General features: G+C 42.5%; 1 long non-coding RNA gene across 1 annotated transcript, besides 1 other annotated feature; it reads right to left on the bottom strand.

Moving 5' to 3' along the window:
* Positions 1–10,391: 10,391 nt before the first annotated feature.
* On the bottom strand, positions 10,392–19,633 carry LOC105376080 (uncharacterized). The gene is made up of 3 exons (XR_929925.3): positions 19,317–19,633; positions 18,275–18,447; positions 10,392–13,594 (listed from the first exon to the last, which is right to left on the bottom strand). It is a non-coding gene; the product is annotated as an uncharacterized LOC105376080 (long non-coding RNA).
* Positions 20,354–20,648: an enhancer, noted in NCBI's record as "tiled region #9116; K562 Activating DNase unmatched - State 8:EnhW". NCBI's record gives its function as "activates a minimal TATA promoter and a strong SV40 promoter by Sharpr-MPRA in K562 cells {active_cell/tissue: K562}" and the evidence as "EXISTENCE:reporter gene assay evidence [ECO:0000049][PMID:27701403]".

Genomic DNA, 22,386 nt, shown 5'->3' with positions numbered 1-22,386 from the left:
TGAAGGCTGGGCACCACCCTAATCGCCACTGATAAATCCTTCTGTCGCCATTCGTAAAGGTTGGAAAAATATGGAGACACAAAGCCTGAACGGCCTCATTACCCTAATGGGCACAGCATGGAGTAGCTTGATAGAACTGACACCACTTCCAGGAATAACACCATGTTCGTGATAAAATGCCCAACCTTACTCTCTCCAGAACATTCAGTTATGAACAGTTATACACCAATTACTTTGTATTTTAATCAAAATATAATTGAAACAAGCCAGATTTAAAACTCTTTGATGCCACAGGCAACAAGATAAAAATTATGAAAGTTGAAATAGTTACATAATCCCCCTAAGGCCACCATTCTGTAATTCCAAGGCCAACTCACTTCTCCCTTTCATCTCTTAGACTGACACAAAAAGAGGGGGAAAAAATCAAATGAAAAGAGTTAAAGTGACTCACAAAGAGCTGTGAGAGAGAGAGGAGGAAAGAGAGAAAGTAGAAGCCACACAGGCTTAGGGGAGGGAGGGTTTGGGAGGTGAGTGGATTGGTATGAAGTAGGGGACAGTTGTGCATAAGAAAGTATGGAAGTTGGGCACAGTGGCTCACGACTGTAATCCCAGCACTTTGGGAGGCCGAGGCAGGCGGATCACCTAAGGTCAGGAATTCAAGACCAGCCTGGCCAATATGGTGAAACCCCATCTGTACTAAAAGTACAAAAATTAGCTGGGCATGGTGGCGGGTGCCTGTAGTCCCAGCTACATGGGAGACTGAAGCAGGAGAATCACTTGAACCCGGGAGGCAGAGGTTGCAGTGAGCCAAGATCGTGCCACTGCACTCCAGCCTGAGTGACAGGGCGAGACCCAAAAAAAAAAGAGTGTGGAAGTATTGGGGAAAGGGGAGAAAAGGACATGATGGTTATGATTTGGATCCCTGCTAACGTCCTTTGAGAGATACAAGTAAAGAACAGATTTCTCTTTTAATTTAGGGGAAGAAATGAGATTGGCTATTTCACTGTGCTTCTTGAATGCCAAACTGAAACCTTTGGGACCCCAATTTATTAGGGTTGCAATGAAATCTAAAATATTTTGGTTGATGTGAAATGCAATTAATTTATGCTGGGCATTTCCTAACTATGCAATTAAATTCTGATTTAACCCAGAAAACTATTTTCTTAACCTAGTGATACAATTTCAAGACAATGGATATGAAAATGAAACATTAAGGGGTTTTAATTAGGACAAGGGCTGTGGTTGTTGTCTAACTACCTATTATTTTTCCCAGAAGCAAGCTACTTGAAATATCTAGGTCAGAAATTAAAACCTCTCAGTACCAACTGAATTGTAAATGCAAGCAGTTAATGAAAGCTTCATTCCTTTACAATCTATGGACTGCATTAGCCAGTTAATGTTGATCTTTTAGAGTGCCATTTAAAAATTTTATAGCGAAAAGATATGTGTATGCATGTGTCTATTCATACCAAATAAGTGACTTAAGCTGTCATATGTATCAAATTAATTTAAACATTTAATAACCACAATGTCACTAAAAAACCTGGCTTGCAATTTGTTTATTGTTAATATCTGATATCAGAATTTCTTGGAATCTTGAAGCTATAGCTCAAATAATTTAATCACACACACACACACACACACACACACACACACACACACACAATTATGGCTCAGTGTTCCAGAAAATGTGTACCTTCTCACCTAGTACCAAGTAGAAAATTAAAACTTTCCAAATTAGCTGGGCATGGTGGTGCATGCCTGTAGTCCCAACCACTCAGGAGACTGAGGCAGGAGAATCACTTGAACCCGGGAGGCGGAGGTTGCAGTGAGCCAAGATCGGGCCGCTGCACTACAGCCTAGCAACAGAGCCAGACTTCGTCTCAAAAAAAAACAAAAACAAAAAAACTTCCCTTCCCCCAAAGCAAGCTAAAAGATTAAACACAGGTTGTTAATACTTACAGGTACTAAATATTTGCATCCAGACCCAAGATAGCTCTAAAATAAGCAACTGGTTAAGTGGAAGTATCACACTATCTGCAATAGTAAATACAAGTCCAGAGCCACTGACATCCATAAGATCAATGTGGGAAGGGGAATCTAAAACAGAGGGACAATGGCTCCTAAAAGAAAAAAACCCTGTGTGTAAATTGCTTATCATCATGGCTTATAACATACTAATAGTCATTAGCATGACAACCAGGTAGCAGTTGCTCACTAAGAACGTACCTTCAGATTTATATGCACTTAATGGATATACATATATGGTAAACGTAAGACTGTGGTGTAAAGTCCTTTGCAGGTTTGCTTAAAGGAAGAATTTTATTTTTCAGTTGTATAAAAGCTAAACATAGTTCTAAACACAAGTTCTCTCTATTCTCTGAGGGTTGTGAAATGCACACAGCTCTCTTCTTTTGATAAATATCAATGAAAGTGAAAGAGGTTGAACAGCAATCCCTGATCTTCCTTCCTTATCTCCAGTATATTTCAGTCCCAAGCCACATCCCAAGAAAAGAGAAAGTAGGGGTGGAATGAGGAGAAAAAAAATAGGTCCAGAATCACTCTAGGGCAAAGGTTGATCCTGGCAACACACAGATATATTATTTGGCCCACCTATGTTTTCAGATGGAGAAAATTTACATTTAAATATATCCAGATTTCTGGCCAGATGCAGTGGCTCGCGCCTGTAATCCCAGCACTTTGGGAGGCCGAGGCGGGTGGATCACCTTAGGTCAGGAGTTCGAGACCAGCCTGGCCAACATGGCAATACCCTGTCTCTACTAAAAATACAAAAATTAGCTGGGCGTGGTAGCGGGTGCCTGTAATCCTAGCTACTCGGGAGGCAGAGGCAGGAGAATCGCTTGAACCTGGGAGGTGGAGGTTGCAGTGAGCTGAGACTGTGCTATTGTACTCCAGCCTGGGTGACAGAACAAGACTCTGTCTCAAATAAATAAATAAATAAATAAAAATAACAGAATATCTAAATTCCTTTGCTCACTTCAGCTAGAGTTGAGTACCTCTTGCTACCCATAAATAGGACAGCTGTTCTCTAGTTCACCACAATCTTGAGTTGATCCACTTTAGTCATGTCTGTTACCTGCCAGACCCTATAGGCATGCAGGTTTACCACTCAGGTAATCTCATAAATTACTATATCGCATAAAAGCCTCAGATAAAACTATCTGGAACTTCATGTATTTACAAAAGATGCCTTAAATTCCACAGTTTTCTTTCAGGTATTTTCTGGGGTGGATTGCAAGACATGGAAATTTTTCTTATTTATATTTTTCTCTCTCATAGTTCATACAGCACCTGTCACATAAAAGGCACTCAATAAATGTTGATTGTTACAAACTAAAGGGAGAATGGACCATAATAACACTCACAGAGCTAATCTGCTTTGGACATCTTTGATTTACTCAGAGCCAAATCCATGGATCCAGGATTAGCCTTAAATTGAAAAGGGCCTGGAATGTAAGGGGATTACAGAGGTTGTGTTGCTGTGAAGGTCAAAAGTCAGACCAGTTCTCTGGGAGCAAATTTGTCTACAGTGAAGAAAGGACTTGCCTCAGCATTAGGAGTCCTGGATGCATTGATTACATAAATAAATTCTATTTATTGTCTACTATGTGCTAAGGGCTATGGATAGAAATATGAACATAACAAGGTCCTTTAAGGAGTTCAGAAATCAAATACATAGTTTCCATGAAAGCCATGTGAATGCATGTCATTTGACCTTTTCAAACTCACTAGCAAAAAAAAGGGGGTGGCAAATCTGTTTGTTGGGGCTTACTTCATGATACAGTAAGAAACAACTGAAACAATGGGATTGTAAACCTTGTGAACCGTAAAACATTGGCAACAAGATGGTAGAACTGGATTCTTCCTGCTTTTGTTTCTTAGGATGCTAATATTGCAGTCAAAAAAGTAAGCATGAGACACAACCTGCCCCAAATACAAAGAAAATGTTGCAGTTTTATAGAAAAATGACCTCTGAGAACCTTTTGCATGCCAGTTGGGTTCCTCAAGCAGACAAATGATTTTTTTTTTTAAATCAGGGTTAAGAGGAGAGAGGTGCCGGCATGCTCAAGGTCGCCAACCCCCACCTGTCCATCTCTCCCATATTTTTCTCACCTCAAGCTTAGAGAGGTGAGCATAATTCCAAATATGTTTCCTATAGTTGGGAGTAACACAAGACCGTTGCCTGACTCCCACCAGAGGCATTTAAGGTAGAGAGTGGATGGTCCACCTGGGGAAATCTGGAAGTAAGAGATGGCCTGAGCAGTCACTTTCGTGGTAGATCTAAGGGGAAGCTACTGTATTGGGACTACATTGCTCACTCCAAATTTGCCTGCACAAGAGATACGGGATGTTTCCTGTTGACTAGAGTAAGCTACCTGAGAGAGAGATTGGCCTCTGTTACTCCTGTGTCCTATCAATTCGGGCCACATGGAGGTGTGAGGTGACCTCAGTAGAAAGAGGCTGGGTTCCAGCCAGACTCAGTAGCTCATGCCTGCAGTCCCAGCACTTTAGGAGGCTGAGGTGGGCAGATCACGAGGTCAGGAGTTCGAGACCAGCCTGACCAACCTGGTGAAACCCCGTCTCTACTAAAAACACAAAAATTAGTTGGGTGTGGTGGCTCGCACCTATAATCCCAGCTACTCAGGAGGCTGAGGCAGGAAAATTGCTTGAACCCAGGAGGTGGAGGTTGCAGTGAGCCTAGATCATGCCACTGCACTCCAGCCTGGGTGACAGAGTGAGACTCCATCAAAAAGAAAAAAGGAAGGAAGGAAGGAAGGAGGGAGGGAGGGAGGGAGGAAGGAAAGGAAGGTAGGGAGGGAGGAAGGAAGGAAGGAAGGAAAGAAAGAAAAGAAAGAAAAAGAAAGAAAAGAAAGAAAGAAGGAAAGAAAGAAAGAAAGAAAGAAAGAAAGAAAGAAAGAAAGAAAGAAAGAAAGAAAGAAAGAAAGAGAAAGGGAAAGAAAGAAAGAAGGAAGGAAAGAAAGAAGCCGGGTGCGATGGCTCACGCCTGTAATCCTAGCACTTTGGGAGGCCGAGGCGGGTGGATCACGAGGTCAGAAGATCGAGACCATCCTGCCTAACACGGTGAAACCCCGTCTCTACTAAAAATACAAAAAATTAGCCTGGCGTGATAGCGGGCGCCTGTAGTCCCAGCTACTCGGGAGGCTGAGACAGGAGAATGGAGTGATCCCAGGAGGCGGAGCTTGCAGTGAGCCGAGATCGCGCCACTGCACTCCAGCCTGGGTGACAGAGCGAGACTCCGTCTCAAAAAAAACAAACAAAAAAAAAAAAAGAAAGAAAGAAAAGAAACGAAAGAAGGAAGGAAGGAGAGACAGAAAGCAAAGAAGGAGGGGAGGGGAAGGGAGGGGAGGGAAGGGGAGGGGAGGGAACGGAAGGGAAGGGAAGGGAAGGGAAAAATTTTCCCTGGAGGTAAAAATGAACTACGGGAGAGAGAAGTCCAGCAAGGGAAGAGCCCCTGAAACTGCCACATAGGAGAGAGTCCATTTTTCTTCCATGTCTTTGCAGCCAGGATCTCTAAGGGGGACTGTCTTTAACCATCTGCCAGGTCAGAGAGCCAAAGTTACCTCACCAAGTGACAATGGTTCTATCCCTTTATTTCTCCTCTCCCAACCCTGCTTTTGAGCCTAGGAAAGTGGTGAGCAGGAAGCGAGAAGGAGGAAGAAGAGACAAACTCACCTCTTCTTCTACTGCAGGCTTCAGACTAAAACAGGACATAGCTAGGCGGGGAGAATTGATATCAAGTTGTATTTGGAGTTCTGACCTTGCATGGAGCTGGACAGTGTTAAGACTGAATTAGGTCTGTGTCTGTGACTTAAAATGATTGTAGGACTGCTTTTTACCTGACTAAACAGAAAAGACATGAGAATAGCCCAGATATTCACCCAAGGTCAGGTGAATATTACCTTCCCAACCCCAACTAATACAAAATTAAGGGAGGGTAGAAAGCATACACAAAGATGCATTTGATCAAAATCCACACATCGTGCACCATATTTGCACCATATAAACAAGAGTTATTCTGGTATGAAGTAGTGTTATTTTCTCTTCCTGAAAAGTAGCTTTCATAGCGAACTATTGCTAAAGTTGCCATAATCGTCTTTTTCAACTTTCTTATTTTTAAGATGAAATATAGGTAAAGCCTACTGATAGAATGATAATGTTTATGGATCATGGTGAAGGTCCTGAAGTTGAAGTGAAATCATTTTTGAAGAATTATAAGTAATGAGAGAGATCTAACATGACTGACTCCATCTTGCTTCTAGACTGACTCCATCTTATTTGTAACCTCACAGACTAATCTTTTTTTTTTTTTTTTTGCTTATTCTAGCACTGAAGCCAAGATAAATTTAGTTTATTAAACTTAAACTTAGAGACATAGGAAACTGAACATCTCCTTGTTCACAGATTGAAGCTGCATTTGTAAGACAAGTTTAGAATTATGGGAAGAACTTGAACTTTGCTAAAGAATAGGCATAAACAATGACCTGCCATTGCTTAGCTTGCTTTTCTATTAGTTGCTTACCACTCCAGAGTCACGTAATCAGGGGTTGTAAGATTTATAATTTCCCCAACTACTCCTATAGATAACATCAATATTGTGAAACCTACAGAACTGGTCTTTGAGATCTTTTCCAAATTTAGCATTTTGGTAGACCAAGTGATGCCATCTGGTCCTCAGACCCCCTCTTGGGAACTAACTCAACTACACAAAGGCAGTTTTAAACACCCCCGTGATTTCTTCCCCAGATAATCAATTGTTTCAGTTTCCCAGCCCCTGCTTACCAAAGTACCCTTTAAAAAAAAACCCTAGCCTTGGCTGGGCATGGTGGCTCATGCCTGTAATCCCAACACTTTGGGAGGCCAAGGTGGGTGGATCACTTGAGGTCTGGAGTTCAAGACCAGCCTGGCCAACATGTTGAAACCCTGTCTCTACTCAAAAAAATTAAAAAATTAGCCAATGGTGGCAGGTGCCTGTAATCCCAGCTACATGGGAGGCTCAGGCAGGAGAATCACTTGAACCCAGGAAGCAGAGGTTGCAGTGAGCCAAGATCACACCACTGTACTGCAGCCTAGGCAATAGAGCTAGACTCTGAAAAGAAAAAAACTAGCTTTTTAATTCTCAGGGAAGCAGATTTGAGAAATACCTCCTGTCCTTCCACTTGGCTGGCCCTGCAAATTAAACTCTCTTTGCTGCAATACCTGCCGTTCTTAGTGCATTGGTATTTCTGGGAAGCAGGCAAAAAGAACCTGTCAGGCTGTGACATATGTCAGCTGAAGAGGAGCCTTGAAAACACTTTCATTAGGAAGTTTTGTACCTCCCTAGTAATATTAATTCAGCTGCTCCCCTTGAAATTTTAGGGCTTCTTTCACATTTTGGAAACAAGAGTGGTCGCCCTATCATGCCTCATGCCTCAGTGGTCAAGTTTCTGTGATCTGTCAGTCAAGAGGAATCCTTAGAAGCACCAACTGGCCCTACTTGGCAATGAAATTGAGTGTAGATAGGATAATTATGCTATGCACCTGTGCCTCTCTGCTATCCTAATAAAATCTCAGAAATAATGTCCCCATTTTCCCCACACTACCTTACTCAAGAAATTTCTCACTACCTTACTCAAGAAATTTAAAACTCATATAAGGAAAATGTAAAAGAAAAAGATCTGTGCTTCAAACAAGAATTACTCTCAAGATTCTGCCATTTGGATTATTCCTCATAAATTTCTAATCTGCCCAGCCTGTGATTCATATAGTAGCTGAAATTGAAATCTGTGAAAGAAATTAGGATTACTCCCTTACTTCAGCCTTGAAAAAAATATAGCCTAAAGGAGTTTTGGATGTAGATTTTGTATAGAAAACAGGCATTTAAAAAAAAAAAAAAAAAAGGCCAAGCGCAGTGGCTCACGCCTGTAATCACAGCACTTTGGGAGGCCGAGGCAGGCAGATCAGGAGGTCAGGAGTTCGAGACCAGCCTGACTAACATGGTGAAACCCTATCTCTACTAAAAATACAAAAGTTAGCCACGCGTGGTGGCGTGCGCTTGTAAACCCAGATACATGGGAGGCTGAGGCAGGAGAATCGCTTGAACCCAGAAGGTGGAGGTTGCAGTGAGCTGAGACTGCACCACCGCATTCCAGCCTGGGTGACAGAGTGAGACTGTCTCAAAAACAACAACAACAAAACAAAACTGAGGATTATAAAAGTGGAAAAGGAGAAGGAAATATCCTCCTTCTCTCCAAAGGTGCATTTCTACACTTACAACTCTGATTCCTTTGTTTCTACCTTTCCATTTCCATGCTCCCATACTTCTTTGTAGAACAGCCTAAATGTTGCGGAAAGCACCTTTCTTAGCTTCTGCTGTGTTACCTTGAAGCCACAGTGCTTACCTTTTAGACAGTTATTGCCGCCTTCTTCACCGTGGCTAATTGTCAGGGACAGAGATGTTTAAAAAACAATCACTTTAGTATCATGAAGATCACTGCTAATTAAATTCAACCAGAGTATTTACTGTTTGTTGTCTATTCTTTATCATGCATTTTCTAAGATCTTCTTATCCCTGAGTGAATTATACCAAAAGGCAGCAGATTGTCTGAGCCTCAGGGGAGATTTTTCCCAGTTTGCATTTTTGTTGTTGTTCTTATAGCATTACTCTTGATCATTTGTTAAAGAAAATATTTTTTAAAAAAAATTTACAATGGAAATTTTAAATTTTGAGAGAGTTGATATTTAATTAACACTTACCAAATGGTATTAAGTAAATATATATGCATAAATATGTTATTCATGTCACTGTAGAGACATATTGCATTTAGCCATGCAGGTATACCAACAGGCTTAGAAGAAACTGGGACAATAAATTGAAACAAGCACTTTATCAGAACATTTGAGCAGCTGTTTACATAATATTATATGCTTAAAAGAAACATTAAAGCATGGGCCATGCTCCTAGAAACCATAACATTTAGTTGAATAGATCTGAATATTTTGGATCTCATGGACCAATAGTTTTTTGGGAAAGGAAGAATGGGAGGGACAGACAAAACAAAGAATGTCAATTTTTTATTGTTTTACTAAATAATAAAAATGGTTAACTGTATTAGTCAGGATTCTCTTAGAGAGTCAGAACTAATAGGCTATAGATACATATATATATATATATATATGAGATATATATATATATGAGATATATATATATATATGAGATATATATATATAAAAAGAGGAGTTTATTAAGTATTAATTTACATGATCACAAGGTCCCACAATAGGCTGTCTGCAAGCTGAGGAGCAAGGAGAGCCAGTCCAAGTCTCAAAACTGAAGAACTTGGCATCCAATGTTCGAGGGCAGGAAGCATCCAGCACAGGGGAACGATGTAGCCTGGGAAGCTAGACCCATCTCTCCTTTTCACATTTTTCTGCCTGCTTTATATTCACTGGCAGCTGATTAGATTGTGTCCACCAGATTAAGGATGGGTCTGCCTTCCCCAGCTCACTGACTCAAATGTTAATCTCTTGGCAACACCCTCACAGACACACCCAGGATCAATACTTTGTATCCTTCAATCAAGTTGACACTTAGTATTAAACAACACAAGTCTACCCCTTGTCAACTTGAACCCATACAAATCTCCTGAGATCATACATAATCTTCAAATAAAGACAATAATGAGCGAGCTCATAATTACACCTAACATAATACAACTGTCCTTTGTACAACCAGAAATGCACCAATCCCAAACCCAAAATACTATTACATAAAGTTAGCAATACTTAAATGCTGATATGAAGTCAATAAGTCTTATGTCACGTGATAAAGGAAAAGGAAATAAAATGAAGATATTTTCTTAGTGCAAGTGTGTACATGCACAAACATGTTTTTAACAAAAGAAGGAGGAAATACTCATGACAATTACCGTCCTCGTTTCTGCAGCTGGTCACATGGTCATAGCTAGTATTGATGCCTACCTTCTTCTACTACCCATCCTGTATTCCCTTTGCCTTCAGCAAGCACCTCAGCAGGTAGTGGCTTTTTTCCTGGTGGAGTGACCCGAACCTTCATTCCTGAGGGGTCTAGGTCATTTGTAGTCCTGCCTGGATTGGACTGTTGTAGTGTCTCATTGACATTAATCACAAGGCATAGCAATACTAAGAGATGCCATAATGGATCTTTTGTATTCCATGTGTACTCTTCTTTACCTCTGTTGTGGAGTAGTAGACTGATTTCATCTTGGTAGTAAGGGTCAATCACCCCAGCCAACACTGTAACTCCCTTCTTAGCCTGTTGACTTAAAGGTAGGAGGAGCCCAAAGTGTCCAGGTGGCAATCTTAACTTCTGGTTTAATGGAATCGTTGTTGTGTCTCCTGGTGGCAGCGTTCTTTCCTCTGGAACTAAGACCTCTAGGCCAGCAGAACATAATGTCATGGGAACAGGTAGCAAAAATTTTGCTGGTGGATAACTAGGGGTGATGTTGAGTGGTGCCACCTCCACTTCCATCCCCTGATTCCTGGACCTGTGAATCCTGGCTATGGGAGAAACAGTACCATATATTGGACACTAATTCAGAGCATACATGGCCTTCTGGATAACTTTGCCCCCACTCTGCAAAGTATTGTCACCTAGTTGGCATTGTAATGGTGACTTCAAAAAGCCATTCCACCATTCTATCAATCCAGCTGCTTCAGGATGATGGGGAACATGGTAAGATCAGTGAATTCCATGAACATGAGCCAAAAAAAAACCCAAACAATCTTCATTCAGCCAATTTAAGGGGGTGGAGGTAAGAGAAGAGTGAGCACAAAGAATGAGGACACAGAAAAAAAAAAAAAAACGAAGAGACATAGAGAAAGAGGCTGCAGCTGTTCTGGCATATTAACAGAAAAGTTCCCAAATACACCAGGACATCAGACTGCCCTTGGGCTCACAAATCTTCAGGGTCAAAAAGACAGACACATAATGCCATAATGAACAATGTGAGCAGTCATTGCTCCTAAGAAGCTTCCATTCTAGTGGTAGAAAATGTAGGTCAAAATCAGGCAGGGAAGTTCCTTGAATTTCAAGCTTAGAAATTTTGACATTATATTCTGGCTAATGAGCAATCAGCAGTGTTTTACTACATGTTACTCGAAGTTTCTTAGTAGACTCACAGAGGGGTATTTATTCATTGGCTCCCAGGTTTGAAATAAACCAACCATAACTCTCAGGTTAGTAATGGTGCTTCTGTGAATAGGAGGGGAAAAAAAATCCCCCATCCAATGAATACAAAGGGGCAGTCCAGGGTAATGTGTATTTATTTCCTTTTCCAAGAACTCAAGGCACATTTTCAGCCCTCAGCTCAGTTTAGTTTTCCCAGTCTGGTCAGTAACATGATATCAAGGTGTTTGTGTGTGTGTGTGTGTGTGTGTGTGTGTTTGAGACAGAGAGAGAGAGAGAGATTGGGAAAGGGGCAGGGTGAGAAGAAAGTACAGTTCAGTGGTTACTAATGGATCACTAAATTTTTCCCCCATGTAAAGATTTTTTAGCCTCTCTTTCTTGTATCTTATGTCATGTCTTGGCATTCAGTCAGCACTCCCAGAGGCAGGCCCATTAACTCTTTCAAGCCTCTAGAGTACTATTCATACCATTCAGTGCATTCCGGTACTGCACTAAGCATACCATGCAAGAATGCTATTTAGTTCAATGCACTCGTGATACATAAAGCAATTCCCTGAAGGCCTGAAAGAGTTAACCTACATCTCTCTCTGAACATTTGGCTTAGTGCAAGGGATTGACTGAGAAACTGGGGACAATAGAGCCCAGTGTCTCATTAACTGGCATAGAATTCCATTGACATAAGAAGAAATAGACAATATCATCTTTAATACAAGTGGAAAAACTGAGAACCCCAAGAAGTTTTTGCCTACAGTCACACAATAAGCTGGTCTCACAGGCAAGACCATTTCCAGGTCTCCAAATGTTCTGCCTGGAGCTCTGCCTAGGTTTCCTTTAAACCCAAACTCATGCAGGGATGGAGCAGATGAAAGTGTGTGAGAGGGCAGAGGTTAACACAAGAGTCCTGTGGGCCCATGTCTTACAAACGCAAATGCTGGATTATTCTGTTATAAATCCTTCTTGGGAGGAAATTTATTATTATTATTATTATTACTCTGTTGCCCAGGCTGGAGTGCAGTAGCACAATCTCAGCTCACTATAACCTCTGCCTCCCAGGTTCAAGCGATTCTCCTGCCTCAGCCTTCCGAGTAGCTAGGACCACAGGCACGCACCACCAGTCCTGGTTAATGTTTGTATTTTTAGTAGAGACGGGTTTTCACTATGTTGGCCAGGCTGGTCTCGAACTCCTGACCTCAAGTGATCTGCCTACTTTGGTCTCCCAAAATGCTAAGATTACAGGCGCGAGCCACCGCGCCCGGCCAGAAATGAAATTTTAAGTAAAACCTGTAAAATCATCCCTTCCAGATTTCCTTCGGACAGTGGTATAGTCACCTCCAACCACACCAGACCCAGCAACCTTTCTGCATTTTACCTCAATTCCCATCAACATGTTTGCAACTTCCCATAGTTTGTTTTCATCTCTTTCTAGTAGGGGTTGAAAAAGTATCTTGAGAATGGAGAGATGGGGCCAGAGCATACACTCTCCTGATAGCTCAACAGAAAGCATTGCATGAGGCTGGGCAAGCCTGCTTGGGGTGCCCCTGGGATGCTGCACAGCTAATTTGCACAGTGGCACTGCATTTAGATTCCTTATGAGGCGAGTCTCAAGTTTAAAGCGCTCTGTGGCTGGAGAAGGGGCTGGAAATAAAGAAGGTGGTGATATTTCCAGGATTTTGCAATAGAACTGTGACCAAACCCTTTCATGCTAAAGTTCAAAATAATATGCATTGGAGCTGGAAGTGAACTTAGATATCACCTGGTCAAACCCTCATCTTGTCACCAAGAAAACCGAGGTAGACAAGGGAAGTGACCTATCTCGGGCCACACAAGTCATTAATAGCACAGTTGGTGGGTAAGGTATTTTAAGCCATAAGGAATGAAAGAGAAGTTCATGGTTACATCAGATAATAAGGATTGATTTTAAGGACACACAGGGGTAGCAGATGTCAGCGGTAACATGACCAAACCTCACCAAGCACTAAACACTGCAGGCACATAAGGTGAATTTATACCCAATCTACTTCTTTTGCTCTGGCAGATACTCCTTAAATGTAGGTATCTGTCTGCCTGCTTCAGTCCTTTGCTGTTATGGGCACTAACTACTTTCTGCCTTGCTTTTACTGCTATTGTTTACATGCATTCATATGTTTCCACTTTCCTTTTCTCTGTTTCTTAATTCCTGCTTGCCAGAGCTTCTGCTTCCTGTGGATGCTTTCTGGCTTATTTTCTGTGTGTCTTTTCCCTTCTGTCCATCTTCCAAGGGTTGACTTCTCTTGAATGGATTTACATTCGAGTTCCTGGAGGGAGGATCTGATGGGTTCATGTAGCAACTCTGCAGTAGTGCTACAGAGCTCTTCCTCCAGATCTCAGCGTTATTACAGATGATGGCTTTATTCAGGGAGGTGTCTATCCCTGGTCAAACAGAATAGGACAGACAGATAAAGTTGAATGTCATCTTTCCTCAGAATGGGGCTTTGAGCATGGAAACCACGTTAAGCATAATAGATTTCTCCCCAGATTAGTACTTTGGACTAGATCCCACATCTCCTCAGTTCTAGTATAGCATACAGTAGTGAGTAAGAAAATATTTCTGAAGCACAAATGACTGGGTTTTAATCATATGACCATTACTTCTAGCAAGTTATGCTTTAGATTATGCTCTGAGATAGCAAGTTATACAACTGAACATTCCTTATCTATAACATAGATTATCATATCACCTGTCGTATAGAGTAAGGGAGGACTGGGATTATTTACATAAAGTGTTTAGGAGAGTATCTGACCCATAAGTACCCCATAAATGTTAGATGTTTTATTATATTGTTTTCTTTGCACAGCACCTGTGATGATTTTAAAGTATGTCTAAAAATTCTTTGATATTTTTCCCATAAACGATGCAGTCTAATTCTCCTGCTTTGAGTATGGCCCACATTAGTGACTTGCTTCTTACAAGCAAAATACAACAAAAGTTATGCTGTATGACTTTTAAGGCTAGGTCAGACAAGATGATATTGCTTCTGCATTGTTGGGATTCTTGCCTTTGGAACCCAGACACCATGATGTGAGGAAGCTCAAAACCCATGGAGAGGCCACATATAGGTGTTCTGACCAACAGCCCTAGCTAAGGTCTCAGCCAACAACCAGCATCAATCACTAGCTATGAAGCAATGAGCCTTCAGATAATCCCAGCCCCAGGCTTCAAGTTTTCCAACTGACGTTCCAGATGTCATGGTGCAGACCCACTCCAAACTTTGTTTGAAATCCTGACCCACAGGATCTGTGAACAATTACTGACGGTTGATTTACACCATTTAATTTGGGGGGAATTTAGGCAGCCATGGCCTTTTATTTCTTCATCCGTATGAGAGTACTGTTTGTGGGGACCTTGACAGGATTCAGGAAACATCAGATTTTCTCTAAAGCTTGGCTTCTACACTGCAGTGTTTCTTCACTAGTGTGTTAGGCCGTTCTTGCATTGCTATAGAGAAATACCTAAGACTAGGCAATTTATAACAAAAGAGGTTTAATTGACTCATGGTTTGGCAGGCTGTACAGGAGGCATAGTGACATCTGCTTCTGGGAAGGCCTCAGGAAGCTTCCAATCATGGTGGAAGTCAAAGAGGGAGCAAGACACATCGCATGGCGAAGGCAGGAGCAAGGGAGGGAGAGAACAAGGTGCCACACACTTTTAAACAAGCAGATCTTGGGAGAATTCACTCACTATCATGACGACAATACCAACGGGATGTTGCTAAACCATTCACAAGAAATCTGCCCCTATGACCCAAATACCTCCCACCAGGCCCCACCTCCAACGCTGGCGATTACATTTCGATTTGAGATTCAGATAGGGACAGATATACAATCTATATCAACTAGGGAGTGGATTATAATGCCCAGGACTTTTAAAAATGCATAGCCCCCAGACATGCTGGCTTAGCACCAATTCTATGGGACTTATACATGTATAATTTGAAAATGTTCATTATTTAACTTCAACAAATCTTCACTGGGAGAGATCATTTACATACCTAGTCCTTACGCTGAATTTGGAGGGCAAGAGCTGATGACTTTCATTCACATTCATTAGTGCTCTATAAGAATCTATGTATGCCTGGCTTTCCTGCCAGGTGTCCTTTTGGGAAGACCATACTTCCTGTCTGTGAATGAATTAGAAGGATATTTGGTATTTCTGGTGTGTAGGCATCTTCTGATGGAATCCAGGTTAGGAATGGCAGACACCAAGCTATGATCTTCAACAGTGAATTCTCAATATATTAAGAAAAACCCATTTAAGTTTTCCCTTCAAAATCTGGAGAGCCGGTAACAAGACAAGGTTGTTCACTCTCATCATTTCTACAAGGTACTGGATGGTCGAGCCAGGGCAGTTAGGCAAGAAAAAGAAATAAAAAGCATTCAGATTGGAAAGAAAGTAAAACTATCTCTATTTGCAGATGACATAAACTTACATATAAAATTCAGAGAGTTTTGCAAGGCATCTTTTGGGCCCAGAAAACCAAAAAGAATTTCTATCTCCCTCCCACACTCACTAGAACAGAGATTCTCAAACTTTGCTATACAAGAGAGCTGTTAATCTTCCAACTATGCCCAGCTTCCAGAGACTGTGTTATCTGATGTACTGGGCTGCGAAATTTCATTTTAAGAAGCACCCCTAAGAAATCCAATGCAGGTGAATTTTAGATAACTTTGTAAAATGCAAAACAAAATCTTTCAAAATTGTTTAGCTCAATGATTTAGAGTATAATGCCTAGAACTTTATTGCCTGGGTTTGATTCTTGACTCTTCTACTTGCTAGCTGTGTGACCTTGAGCGCGGCACTTACCTTTACTGTGCCTCAGTTTCTCCAAATGTAGAATGGGGTTAATGATAGTGCACCTGCCTCACAGGTTTACTGCATGCGTTAAATACAATAATGTCTGTGAAACAGTTAGACTAAAAATTGTTCTAATTGTTCTTACTGTCACTTATTTGCTGTAGGGGAACTACCTGGTTATCCCTGGAAGCTATACCTTGCCTGTAGACACTATAGCAAAATGCAATGACTCTAATAAATGTAGGAAAACCACATGAACTCTGTTCATGCTCTTCTCTACTGACGTTCACATGCCCTCTCTGAAAAGCTATGGCAAAGAGACACATTCTGTTAGAAATCAAATGAAAACATGGGTCAGCCGATCCTTCCACAGTTCAAATCCCTCTCTGCCTTAATGATCATGGCTAATCTGCAGTGTGATTATCATATTTGGCATATTACCAGAGGTTTCTTTTTTCCATTATTTTGATTTATGCCATTAGTGAATCTGGTTTTCCATGCTCTGTTTTGTTTTACAGTACATTTCACCAAGAGTTCACTTCCAAATGCAAACATGAGGACTAATGCTCCATTTATGACTCATAAAATGTACTACTCCATTCCCCCCATTCACTAGCATGATAGCAAATCTTTAACAGATTGCCTTGCGCATAGGGAGGCAGCTCCCAGTGCTCACATAAATAATTTATTCTGATCAACACTTGCTCAAATTAATGGAAATGATAATGTACAGAAAGTGTTTTCCTGTGTTTCCAAGTCTATTCCCCAAGGCAACATTATTTGTATTCCTAGATATGCAGGAAACTGACCTGACGGTTCCCAGTTCAAAAATCACAGGTAGAGGCCTTGTTTTCGGAATTTCCTTACTCAGCTAAGAACAGAGTTTTCTTACAGTGTAAGGTCTATTACATACTAGATACTACGAAGTGACAGCGTGCTGGCAGCCCTCGCAGCCCTCCCTCGCTCTTGGCGCCTCTTTGGCCTCAGTGCCCACTCTGCCACGCTGGAAGAGCCCTTCAGCCCACCACTGCACTGTGGGAGCCCCTTTCTGGGCTGGCCAAGGCCGGAGCCGGCTCCCTCAGCTTGCCGGGAGGTGTGGAGGGAAAGGCGCGGGCGGGAACTGGGGCTGTGCGTGGAACTTGCGGGCCAGCGCGAGTTCCGGGTGGGCGTGGGCTCGGCAGGCCCCACACTGGGAGTGGCCAGCCGGCCCCGCTGGCCCCGGGCAGTGAGGGGCTTAGCACCTGGGCCAGCAGCTGCTGTGCTCAACTTCTCCCCGGGCCTTAGCTGCCTCCCCGAGGGGCAGGGCTCGGGACCTGCAGCCCGCCATGCCTGAGCCTTCCCCGCCCCCTACTCCATGGGCTCCTGTGCAGCCTGAGCCTCCCTGATGAGTGCCGCCCCCTGCTCCACGGCGCCCAGTCCCATCGACCACCCAAGGGCTGAGGAGTGCGGGCGCAGGGCGCGGGACTGGCAGGCAGCTCCACCTGCAGCCCTGGTGCGGGATCCACTGGGTGAAACCAGCTGGGCTCCTGACTCTGGTGGGCACTTGGAGAAACTTTATGTCTAGCTAAGGGATTGTAAATACACCAGTCGGCACTCTGTATCTAGCTCAAGGTTTGTAAACACACCAATCAGCACCCTGTGTCTAGCTCAGGGTTTGTGAATGCACCAATCGACACTCTGTATCTAGCTACTCTGGTGGGGACTTGGAGAACCTTTGTGTGGACACTCTGCATCTAGCTAATCTAGCTGGGACGTGGAGAACCTTTGTGTCTAGCTCAGGGATTGTAAACGCACCAATCAGCACCCTGTCAAAACAGACCACTTGGCTCTCTGTAAAATGGACCAATCAGCAGGGTGTGGGTGGGGGCAGATAAAAGAATAAAAGCAGGCCGCCCAGCCAACGTGGCAACCCACTCGGGTCCCCTTCCACAAGGTGGAAGCTTTGTTCTTTTGCTCTTTGCAATAAATCTTGCTGCTGCTCACTCGTTGGATCCACACTGCCTTTATGAGCTGTAACACTCACCAGGAAGGTCTGCAGCTTCACTCCTGAAGCCAGCGAGACCATGAACCCACCGGGAGGAACGAACAACTCCAGACGCGCCGCCTTAAGAGCTGTAACACTCAGGGCGAAAGTCCACAGCTTCACTCCTGAGCCAGCGAGACCACGAACCCCACCAGAAGGAAGAAACTCCGAACACATCCGAACATCAGAAGGAACAAACTCCGGACGTGCCGCTTTTAAGAACTGTAACACTCACCGCAAGGGTCCGCGGCTTCATTCTTGAAGTCAGTGAGACCAAGAACCCACCAATTCCGGACGCAATATTGTTATACTTTAGTGACAAGAGGGCAGAAATAGCTCTTATTGTATAATGCTGCTGTAATTTTTCTAAATCAGCCAACAACTATGGTTTCCTGAAGTAGCAAAAACCTGAAAAACAAAAAAAAAAAAGATGAAGCATTTCAGAGAGAATGAATCGGAGTGGGCTGGTGATTCATGCATCCTCAGGAAGAGAGTTGGACAGGACCTCTTAAACATCTTTCAACCCTGTATTTTGTTTTTCTACAATTCTACTCAAACACCAATTTATACTCAAATATTAGTTGCACCTCAGAAAGAAACAAGTTGTTTTACCCTCTCCTGCCCCCACAATTCCCCAGTGTTTTGGCTTTAAACTTTCCTCTAGAAAACTGATCAAACATGAACACAAGTTAAATTTAAGCCACTTTATTCATGTAATTCTTTGAAGCCCATAACAGTTATAGAGTGCGTTTGGGTAGCATTAAAGAAAAACTCCTCCGGCTGGGTGCGGTGGCTCACGCCTGTAATCACAGCACTTTGGGCGGCCGAGGTTTGGTGGATCACAAGGTCAGGAGATCGAGACCATCCTGGCTAACACAGTAAAACCCCGTCTCTACTAATAATACAAAAAAAAATTAGCCGGACGTGGTGGCGGGTGCCTGTAATCCCAGCTACTCGGGAGGCTGAGGCAGGAGAAAGGTGTGAACCCTGGAGGCAGAGCTTGCAGTGAGCTGAGATCGCGCCACTGCACTCCACCCTGGGCGACAGAGCGAGACTCAGTCTCAAAAAAAAAAAAGAAAGAAAAACTCCAAAGCAAATATATCTCTGGAGTTCAAGTCAGCATTTCACCTAGAGTGTAAGACAACACTATTTATTCTTTGGAGTGACAAGAAAGGATATATCTTTGACCTTAAATGACCTATTCTTGATCCCTGGTAAACATGAAAGGCTGGCAGCTAGGTATTTGTGTACTAAACTCCACCCCCTCATCCACATACCTTGTTTGGAGGAACTCAGAAGCACTTCCTGTTTGGGATCATGACTCAGGGCCAGAAATTGCTCCTTAGGCAGAGTTAGAGCAACAATATCTGCTAGTGGGACTGGCTCCTCCTAAAAGTCTTCTTTGAATCCCTCCACCCCCATTCTTCAAAGCCCAGATACTTAGAAACAAAACCTAGGAAGAGAGCAGCAGGAAAGCTGAGGGTCATCGTCAGAGGCAAAGCTCTTCCGTGTACCATGTATTGCCATTCCAGTTCACCTCCCTGCAGACCATTTCTGGGTTCCTGGCTTCCCTTCTCTCGCACAGATAATGTCCTGGGGGCAGGAGGAGTGTATCAAACACAGGATTACAGTTCTTTGAAGTAGTGACATCCGTTACAGATCTAAAGTCAAGTTTACAGGGCTGTCAGTAAGGGAAAAGGAACTTTGTGAGCTGAACTTTCTAAAATTAATCCACTTAAAAGCTACATAGCAATAGAGGCATAAGCAGGAGATACCCACTCCATCTCGAAGGAGACTTTTCCCAGTTGCAGAATTACCTGGTTAATTAATTCAGGCACCATAATAATTGAACTAATTTAAAGCCAGAATATCCATCATGGAACAGAAATAGATCTGCTGTTTTTATCAAGGTGATTACCAGGACAATTGCCAGACCTCTTAGTTTTGCTCCATGAAAGCCAAGCCAAGCCTGCTGGTTTACATACACTTTTACATATACACATGCCTTTGTATTAATAAATGAGAGTCCTCTGAGGACAATATTCACAGTCAGAAACTTCCCTCCCAGAAGTAAGAATAGGAAAGAAAGCAAAGGCTGTGTTCTCAATCCAGGCCATGGATTTTGTATAAATGAATGGAAACCTAATTTAAAAATCTATGTCCTTTTTGTGCCTACCTTCAGTGAGTTTCTAGAAATTATAATAAAACCCATTTATTGTCAAATAACAAAACAGTACATTGATGAGTGAAAGTTAAGACAGTTGTACAATTTCAAGCTGCTTCCAAGGAGGATGGAAGTTTGGCACATTCCCTCAGGATTTGTGAAGCTGTTCTTGCCTCTTCCAATATGACTCTTCATCCACATGAGCCTGAAGGGGTGGGGCTATTAGAGCTCCTTAACAGGCAGCCTTCTTTTACACCTGGCTGGTGAGCTGGCCTGAGACACCTCCAATATGTCTCTACTGTGAGTCACTATCCATAAAATCAGTGAGTCATCGACCACTTTAGAAAGAAATCCCACAGAGTTTTCTTCAAAGCAAGGGCCTCAAACTCAAATATCTACAGGGGCCAGGTAGGTAATGCATAGCAATGAGGATGAATGAGATAATTGGAAATCATGAACACTGGTTACTTCTGCAGTCTCTCCGTAACTCCAGCCAATCTTTGCATTGAGAGTTTAAGGGTCCCATTTTGCCACATTTTCTCATTTCTAAGAGATTACAGAATTCTGCTTTCTTGTTGTTTGCTGATTTATAAATGTTTGCAATAAATTTGATTTTGCAACATACTATGCTAGGAGGTCAAAACATATCTGTGAGAATAATCACCAATTTGTCATCTGTGGTTTTTAGTATCATCTCTGCACACATAAACACACATGTGTGCATACCCACCCACACACAAACAACCATCAGCCTCAAAAATGATGGATTCTGGGAGTTGAATTTGTCAAACTTCAATCATCCTTGGAAGTAGCTTGAAATATTCCTCATTCCTTTATCAATTTGCTATTTTGTAGATATTTTCCAGTAAAAAGATTTTATTATAATTTGTAGAAACTCATGGTAATAGGAATATAGGACACACATTTTTAAATGAGATTTTTCTTTCATTTACTAAAATATAAAATCCAATAGAGAAAATTCTATGTAAAGACTAAAAATCATACATATACCAAAAAATCGACATATTTCACCAAAAAGTGAATAATTAATGTTTTCTCCTCCAAAATTTTGTTTATTCTCCATAATTGCTAGAGTCAGAGAGTTTGAGTAATAGAGCCAGAAATGACACGCAGAGAGGTCATTTTCCTCACCTGTGTGAGATAAGCAGTAGCAGCAAACAGTTGCCAGGGTGTGTTATCATAGCTCACTGCAGCCACAATCTCCTGGGCTCAAGTGATCCTCCTGCCTCAGCCTCATAAGTATCTGGAACTACAGGCATGTGCCACCAAACCCAGCTAATTTGTTTTTGATTTTAGTAGAGACAGGGTCTTGCTATATTGCCCAGGCTGCTCTCAAACTGCTGAGCTCAAGCAGTCCACCTGCCTTAGCCTCCCGAAGTGTTGGGATTACAGGTGTAAGCCACCACACCCAGTCCAGTTAAAGCCACCACACCCAGTCCAGTTTGGTTTTTTTTTTTTGTTTTTTGTTTTTTTTTTGAGACAGAGTCTCGCTCTTTTCACCCAGGACGGAGTGCAGTGGCGCAATCCCGGCTCACTGCAACCTCTGCCTCCCGGGTTCAAGAGATTCTCCTGCCTCAGCCTCCCATGTAGCTGGGATTACAGGCACCCGCCACCATGCTCAGCTAATTTTTGTGTTATTAGTAGAGATGGGATTTCGCCATGTTGGCCAGGCTGGTCTCAAACTCCTGACCTCGTGATCCACACGCCTTGGCCTCCAAAGTGCTGGGATTACAGACGTGAGCCACTGCACCTGGCCGGCCTAGTTATTTATTTATTTATTTTTTAAAGGTATAGGCCAGGTGTGGTAGCTTATGCCTGTAATCCCAGCACTTTGGGAGGTCGAGGCGGGTGGATCACCTGAGGTCAAGAGTTTGAGACCAGCCTGGCCAACATGGTGAAACCTCGTCTCTACTAATAACACAAAAATTAGCCGAGCATGATGACGGGCGCCTGTAATCCCAGCTACTCGGGAGGCTGAAGCAGGAGAATCTCTTGAACCCAGGAGGCAGAGGTTGCAGTGAGCTGAGATCGTGCCACTGGAGGGAAAAAAAAAAGTATAAATGAGGAAAGAGTAGATGAGTTGGCATATTAAATTAAAACTTTTATGTCATACATTAAAAAAACTGTCAAACCAAAAGAAGTTTTCAATCAAAAAAGCTGTT

This window comes from Homo sapiens, chromosome 9 (genome assembly GCF_000001405.40).
Source record: "Homo sapiens chromosome 9, GRCh38.p14 Primary Assembly".
NCBI classification, from domain to species: domain Eukaryota; kingdom Metazoa; phylum Chordata; class Mammalia; order Primates; family Hominidae; genus Homo; species Homo sapiens.
The sequence above is the reverse complement of the archived record's forward strand: the minus strand, read 5'-3'. Positions and strand labels throughout refer to the sequence as shown.